The 8,612-nt window shown below is 44.0% G+C and overlaps 1 long non-coding RNA gene across 1 annotated transcript; it reads right to left on the minus strand.

Moving 5' to 3' along the window:
• Positions 1 to 250: 250 nt before the first annotated feature.
• LOC105377045 (uncharacterized) lies at positions 251 to 7,772 on the minus strand. Its single transcript, XR_940769.3, has 3 exons — positions 7,740 to 7,772; positions 3,110 to 3,187; positions 251 to 370 (listed from the first exon to the last, which is right to left on the minus strand). It is a non-coding gene; the product is annotated as an uncharacterized LOC105377045 (long non-coding RNA).
• Between the last annotated feature and the right edge of the window lie 840 nt (positions 7,773 to 8,612).

Genomic DNA, 8,612 nt, shown 5'->3' on the forward strand with positions numbered 1-8,612 from the left:
GTTCATTCAAGGCCCTAGGGCTCTACAATCAGCAGGTGGCAAAGCCAGTCAAGCCTGTGTCTTTTCCTTTAGGGTGGTGAGTTCTTCCAGGCCCTGGGCAGCTATCGAGGTACCATGCTCCAGCCAGGAACTAGAGTCAAAAACCATAGATGTCTACGTGGTGTTTTATTGTACTGTGGCTGAGCTGTCGCTCAAACTACAAGACACAGTCCTTCCCACTCTTCCCTCCCATTTCCACAGTCAAAGGAGCCTCACCTGTGGCCGCCACCACCACAGGCCCACAGAGAGTATTGCCAAGCTACCACCAATGTTCCCTCAAGGTCCAAGGGTTCTTCAGTCAGTTAGTGGTGTGCCTGGCCTGGGACTTACCCTTCAGAGACAGGAAAAAGACTGTTTTTAGTGCTCACCTGATTTTTGGCTCTTATCAAGGTTTTTTTGTGTGTGTGTATAAATAGTTTTTAAAATTGTGTTCTTGCTTGGAGGACAATGGGTGGAGCCTTCTATTCTGCCATCTTGCTCTGCCCCCTGGAAGTTACTCTTACTCTTCTGAAGTTAGATCCTGTTAAGTCTTGGTTTGCTCCAAATACGTACCTGATATATGGGGACCTCTTGTCTTTTCCAAGAGTGTGGAAATGGTATATGCCATTCCGGTTTAAATTTTGTTTGGAGTGAAAATCATAAAACTTCTAAGTTGTTCTCAGCTGACAGTCTGGAGTGGTAACAATAGAGCACCACTGGAGCGGTAACAATAGAGCACCACTGGAGCCAGATAGCACTGAGTTAGAATCTTGGCTTTGCCCCTAACCAGGCCTGTGACTGTGAGGACATTGGTTAACCCCTCTGGGCCATCCCCTTCCTTATCTGTCATTTGAGAATTAAAAGGGGTAATGAAGTTGCCTGGCTCAAAGACAGTACTCAATAAATGTTATTCACATACATAACAATAAATTAAATGTTATTAATATTGTTATATGCCTGTTCCACACAGATATTCCTAAAAAGAAACATTTAGCTCTTCCATTCCAGCAATTTATTCTCTTAGTTCCATTTTAGTCTCCCAGGAAGTAGGTAAAACTGAGAATACTCTTTCCCATTTTACACATGAGGAAACAGAAACTTGGGAACATAAAACATCTATCTCAAGATCATATAGTGACTGAGTGCAAAGCTGGTACTCTCTCCTTGTCCCATCCTTATCTTTCGCCATTTCAGGGTTTTCAAGAGACAGAGGGAGTTTCAAAGGGACACTAAGGGCTCAGTTTCTGTTTCATACACGATTCCAGGTCTCTTTGCAGAGAGTCTGAGCATCAAGTAGTGAGAGGTAGAAGCTGGTTCCTGATCAGCCCCTACCAACCCCCAATACACACACATACACACTAACATACATACACACCAGGAGCTGTGAGATGGCTGACAATGGCCAACACCGGGAAAGAAGCTACTTTTGGTGGTGTTTAGGGTTCTCTCAGAAGTGGTTGGTAGAAGCTCCGTGTGTGTGTGTGTGTACACGTGCACATGTGTGTGTTGGGGAATTGGGAGGTGTCTGTTTCAGAGGGAATACCACTCCAGCCAACTAAGCAGAATTTGAAATAATTTCTGCTCAACTCCTAAATGGTGTTCCTCCCATCACTCCTCCATACCTACTTTAAAAAGCAGGCTTTTAAATCTGAATTTAACTGTGTTGCTCTCTGACTGAATAATCTTCATTGGCCACTCATCACATTCAGGGTGAAGCCCAGGCCCAAAGCCCAGCACAAAGACCTACATGATGTGCTCACTTCCAACTGGAAGGTGGGAGGCAGTTCTTACCCAGCAGACACCAAGTTCTCCCCATCCTCCAGCCATGTGGATCCACACATGCCCTTGTCTATACCCTAGGCCTTTGCACAATTGGATCATTCTGCCTGTCACATCCTCTCCCTCACTCTTTCTCCTCAAAGATGATCTAGTGGTGTTTCTCTTCGAAGTTTTTCCTGGACCTTCTTTTGTGCTTAGGCTGAGCTTCTCATTCTCTATTGCAGTGATATGCTCTCATTTCTCCTGAACTAGACTGTTCACTGAAGGGTGAGGGCTATATCTGAGTCCCATCTTGATTTCCCAGTTTATAGCACAGGGCCTGGCCCCAGTAGGCATCTGTACAAGCTTATTTAATAAACAAAAGAGTGAATAGATGGTTTGGAGCTCTGAAGGCATCTTTCCACAGAAAGAGTGTTGAAAATGACTCTGTGTGTTCCCTGTAGGCTACTGACTGTGGATGACCTCTGACCTTTGTGAGACTCTGACAGCTTGGCTCCTCCATCCCCATGGAGGAGTAGCAGTGAGGATTGGAGCCTTGATCTCAGCTCCAGGCATGGACTTGATGGGCTAGAAGTAATCCCTATGGCCTGGCCTACGATCGGTTTAAGACCAGTGAGTGACCCATTTTAAGTCAATGAGACTCAAGTAGAGGGTGGTTGAAGGGTCTATAGTAGTTCTTGAAGGAGGCAGAAAGACAGGTGGCTCCTGACAGCCATCTCAAGCACTGCAGGAGATCCAGGTGTAAGACAAAGCTGGCTCTGCAGAAGGCAGAGAGGAAATGCAGAGAGAGCCTGGGTCTCTGGTGAACATGAGAAACTACGGATGAATTCCTCAGACTGCTCATTTCTGATTTCAGTTATGTGTGTCAGTAAGATTTCTTGTTTTGGGAGCCACTTTGAGCTGGATATTCTGTCACCTGCTGCTGGAAGCAGGACTGATCTTTGTGAAGCTAACTAAATGTAAGCTTGAGTTCCCTTCCCTTACACAGGCTTCTTCCAAGGCCCTGGGACCCAGGGTGCCATGTGTTTGTAAATTTACAAAAGCAAGATATTTTAATAACAACCCATGAAAACCACCATGTTTCTCCACTGTGATGCCTGCTCTGTCACACTGCCCTTAGGGTGGGGTGCAGTTGCAGTAGTCACAGGCAGTTCAGGGATCTGGCCAAGGTGGTGATGAACTGGTCACTCATGCTATTGGATGTGGAGGGATGTGGTTCACCGTCACTTTGGGGCTTAGCTAAGTTATGCTGGATGTCCCAGTGTAAGAATGACTTTCAAGAATTCAATTGCCACCCACACAGCTGACTCACCTGGCACTGTGTCTGGGAGATGCAGGGCCACAGGTTGTCACACGATGTGAAACACAAGCCACAGCACTCACAATGGAACTGCATGATGGAAGGAGGAAAAACAAGATTTGAAATATATTCTGAGGAAATTTCCTCCAGTTACTAGACACATGAAATTGTAAGTGAAGGATTCTGTTTAACTCAATGCCTCAACACAATGAATGTTATCTCTTGTCAGATGTGATGGCATTGGCCTCCTAGTGCGCCACCATGATGATTATGTGAATGGCAAACTGGTTAATGAGCACCGTCAACCCAAAGCATAGTTAAAGATGGGTCACTGCATAAGAAAACACAAAACCCTGAAACTTGTCGGCTTCAGAGGAGATTCCTAAATTTGACAATAGTCCTAAAAATGTACATGACCTTACCAGCGATGAGTTGTGAAGCTACAAGAAACTTTAAAAAACTATTGATAATGAAAAATAATTGATGAACCATGGTAGAGGAAAGTCCAAATTATCCAACTGTTGGCTTTAGAGAAAAATAACATTATAAACTTGGTGCCATGTCAGGAGGTAATCAAAGAGAAGCAGCCAAAAAAAATCAGGGGAAAAGGTATTTTTAGAGGGGACAGTTATTTAATAAAAACGACACGCTTTTTTTTGATTTTGTAATTTCTTGGGTGTGTATTAGTCCATTCTCATGCTGCTAATAAAGACATACCCGAGACTGTGTAATTTATAAAGGAAAAAGGGTTAATTGACTCACAGTTCATTATGGCTGGGGAGGCCTCAGGAAAATTACAATCATGGCAGAAGGGGAAGCAAATATGTCCTTCTTCATGGGGCAGCAGGACAGAGAAGTGCAAAGCAAAAGGGGGAAAAGCCCCTTACAAAACCATCAGATCTCGTGAGAAATCACTCGCTATCATGAGAACAGCAGCATGGCGGTAACTGCCCCATGATTCAATTAACTCCTACTGGGTCCCTCCCATTACAGGTGCGGATTATGGGAACTACAATTCAAGATGAGATTTGGGTGGGGACAGCCAAACCATATCACTCAGCTTTTAAAAATTTATAATTCGTTGCTGTTTCTTATCCTAAGTATTCATTTTCTTACCTAATTTTATATTGGTAATTTTATGGGTTTTATCAGTTAAAGAGAGTTCCTGAGTTGTGTAAGCCTCAGGCCTCACAACACCTGGATCTCCTCTGACTGGAGTTAAATATACACATACATTATCTCACTGAATCTAATCCCGTGCTCCCTTTAGGAGGTAGGTACTGTTATTAAGGCTCAGAGAGGTTGAGTCACGTGCCCAATGTCACATAGCTGTTAAGTGGGAGAGTAGGAATTTGGTGTTTGTGATTCTCTCCTGGAGAGAGATTGAGTGCTCCCTGAAAAAGGGAGCACAGGGGCATTGCCATCTAACCCAGCCTGTGGAGAGACATGAAGGATACCTGGAGGAGGTGATACTGGAACTGAATTTTAATATTTGAGTAAGTGTTGGCTGATGCCTAGAAGGAGACTAGAGGGGTGAGACAGCTGCCCACACAGACGACATGGCACATAGAGGGTGTTGGAAGCAGACAGTGATGTGCTGTGGAAACAGGCAGATTGAGGGCTCAGGAGCATCTTGGATTTCTCCCCTTGGTTAACCCTCCAAACCTCAGAGCTCTGGGATTTGTTCTATCCTCATCATTGAGTAGGGCCAGATTTCTGATTTAGGGCCCAGGGTTCTCTCTGGGCCACTTAGGGTAACTAAACGCCCAGGTTTGTCTGGGACTAAAGGGTTGCCCGGGACGCAGGACTCTCAGTGAAAATGGAAAAAGTCCCAGGCAAGTCAGCATGAGTTGGTCACCCAGAAAGCTGGAAAGACCACTTTTCTGACAAATTGAAGCACCACTCTCCCCTTTTCTCAAGCCCAGGCAAGGGAGGTGATATCCACCGGCAGCTCCTGGGTTTGTAGAGGGGAAGGAAGTCTGAGGTGATGGGCAGTTCAGCTACCCACCTTCTCCCACTTAGCTCTGCTTTTGGATTTTAAAAGAGCAAAGCTCCACTGCCGTGGCCACAGCCTATGTTTCCCTCAGCACACTCTGCAAAGCCTACGGCCCCGAAGTAACTTTTTTCTTTTCTTTTTTTTTTTTTTTTTTGAGACAGGGTCTTGCTCTGTCACTCAGGCTAGAGTGCAGTGACCTGAACATGGCTTACTGCAGCCTCAACCTCCTGGGCACAAGTGATCCTACCACCTTAGCACCCCAATTAGTTGGGACTACAGGCGTGCACCACCAGATTTGGATAATTTTTTTTTTCTTTTTTTTTGTAGAGATGAGGAGATGAGGGTCTCACTTTGTTGCCCAGGCCGGTCTTCAATTCCTGGGCTCCAGCGATCCTCTCGCCTCAGCCTCTCAAAGTGCTGGGATTATAGGTGTGAGCCACTGTGCCTGGCCCAAACTAACTATTGATTAATTAACTGGGCTCCTCATCCTTCAGACCACAGATTCCCCACCTACAAAAGTCCAGTTGGTACATGGGGTGTCAATGCAGGCCTTGTGGAGGGCCTGGGCCAACCATGGCATCTGCGACCCTTTTTAGTTTATCAAAGACCAAAGCGATATTTCTCAAACAATACTGCCTATGACAATCTTTGCCCCTGCTTGTGACAATGCAGATTCCTAGGCCTATACTCCTAGATATCTGAGTTCAGCTCATCCAGGGTGTCAGCTAAGCAACTGCACCTTAGACAAGCTTTTTAGGTAGTAATGGTGCAGGTATTTCCAGACACTAGAAAAGAGATTGCACCCAGAAATTCTACCTTTTGAAAGTTATCCTAAAGGCAGTGCACAAAGGAAATTTAAGAGAATTATCATGCCAGTTTGTCAAAATAGAAACATTGAGGGGGAACATTAGATATTGATTAAGTAAAATTTTGTATCTCTATATAATAAAATGCTGGGCAGCCATCAAAAATGTTATTGTGGATCTCAACTGAACTGGAAAGATGTTTAGCACGTATATATTTATTAATAACAATGGTTTTATTTTGAAATCCTTTTAGATTTATAGTACAGTTGCAAAGATGGCACGGAGAGTTCTGGTATACCTTTCATGCAAGCTTCCCTGAATATTAACATCTTGCATAACCATGATTTATCAAAGCTAAGATATTAGTAACCATATAATTTTATTTATTAAACTACCAACTTCATTCAAATTTTACCAGTCTTCCATAACGCTCTTTTTCTGTTCCAGGATCCAGTCTGGGATAACCCATTGCATTTAGTTGTCACGTCTCCTTAGTATTCTCCAATCTGTGGCCATTTCTGTCTTTTCTTGTTTTCATGATCTTGACACTTTTGAAGAAGACTTACCAGATGTTTTGGAGGCTGTCCCTCAACTAGGGTTTGTCTGATGTTTTTTCAAGATTAGATAGAGTTACAGGTGTTGGGGAAGAACATTGCCACTGAGGCGAAGTGCCCTTCTCATTGCATCGCAACAGAGAGCATGTGATATCAACATGACTTATCAGTGGTGATTTTAACCTGATCACTTGGTTAAGGTGGTGTTTGCCAGATTTTTCCACTATAAAACTATTATTTTTTTCTTTTTTATATGTGAGAAGTAAGTCACTAAGCCCAGTCCATATTTGAGGGAAAGAGAATTAAATTTCACCTTCTGAAGGGAGGAGTGTAAAATAATATATCATATGATCCCATTTTTGTAGAAAAAAATATTTTCATGCATTCATAAAATTTTATAAGAAAACAAACTACAACATTAACAGCAGCTACCCCTGGGTGATGGGAGAGTAGGCAATTTTTTCTCCTTCATCTTACTGATCTAATTTTTCTAATGAATTTTCCTTATGAATAGGTATAGCTTGTATCATAAAAAGTTGAAGAAAACAAAAAGACAAAAGGCAACATTTAAGACTTGGTCATGATTGAAGCAGGGAGGCAGAGTTAGTGCAATGGATAATCCAGTCAAGAGACCAGGTGATTTCAAAAGGCTGGAGTCTTGGGCTGAAACCATAACAGTGAAAATTTCCAGGGAGAAATGCATGACCCAACATTTAATTCAAAACCCAAGGGCACTGGTACAGGATGAAGTAATGGGAAGTGCTGGTGGGCACCAAACGCTTGATCTGTGGGATCAAGCCCTGGGTTGTTTATTTTCTGAAACCACAGATTCAGTCTTAGCTTATAAGATGTCTGGGTGCTAACATTGTTCATGTAGAAGCGGAGTGAGTGTCCAGCTCGAGGGGAGTAGTAGTCCCTGTCACAAGTGCTGTTAATGATTTTCCATGTTCCCTCTCCACTCACGGTCCCCTTAAGGCCAACAACTTCTTAATGAAGAAGGGCTCAAGTGATCCTCTTGCCTCAGGCTCTCAAAGTGCTGGGATTATAGGTGTGAGCCACTGTGCCTGGCACAAACTATTGATTGATTGACTGGGGTCTTTGTCCTTCAGACCACAGCCTCCCCACCTGTCTAACTGTGGCTTCACTGGCCTTAGGGCTGTGTTTGGCCTGTGCTTGGGGCAGGCCAGGGTGCCAGGAAGTTAACACTCGCTTAGTCCATTTGTGTTGCTATAAAGGAATACCTATGCCTGGGTAATTTATAAAGAAAAAAAGTTTATTCAGCTCACGGTTCCTCAGGCTGTACAAGAAGCATGGTGCTGGCATCTACTTCTGGTGAGGGCTTCAGTCTGTTTCCACTCATGGTGGAAGGCGAAGGGGAGCCGTCATGTGTGGAGATCACATGCTGAGAGAGGAAGAGAGAGAGAAAAGACGAAGAGGAAGAAGAAGAAGAAGGAGAAGGAGAAGGACAAGGACAAGGAGAAGAAGGAGGAGGAGGAGGGAGGAGGAGGTGGAGGAGGAGGAGGAGGAGGGAGGAGGAGGTGGAGGAGGAGGAGGAAGAGGAAGGAGGGAGGAAGAGGGAGGAGGGAGGAGGCTCTTTAACAACCAGCTCTCACTCCTGAGAGAATGAGAGAATGGCTCCAAGTCATTCATGAGGGATCTACCTCGACGACCCAAACAGTTCCCACCAGTCCCCACCTCCTACGCTGGGGATCAAATTTTAACATGAGACTTGGCAGAACCAGACAAACCATACTCAAATCACAACACTACCCTTGGAGCAGCTTTAACCAATAGACAGATGGCAGTTGAGAACTAACTACCTAGCCTCATTCTCCTTGACTGGGGCTGCTCTATGGCATGCTCTTCATGGTCTCCCAGAATTCCCTGGGAGGGGTGAGCCCCAGTTGCCCATGGTGATAACCTGCTCATTAACCACTCTGCATCAGTTTTTCTACCCTACCTACCGTACTGGTATCTCCTGAGATCACCTCCCAGATAAATCCTTTATTTTTTCTGAGTAAAACAAGAATTTATTTTGACACACAAAATAAATAAACCTAAATATATCATTGTGTTTTTTTGGTTTGTTTTTTACAATATTTATTTATTTATTTATTTATTTTTATAATTTTAACTTTTATTTTAGATTCGGGGGTACA

This window comes from Homo sapiens, chromosome 3 (assembly GCF_000001405.40).
Source record: "Homo sapiens chromosome 3, GRCh38.p14 Primary Assembly".
NCBI lineage: Eukaryota > Metazoa > Chordata > Mammalia > Primates > Hominidae > Homo > Homo sapiens.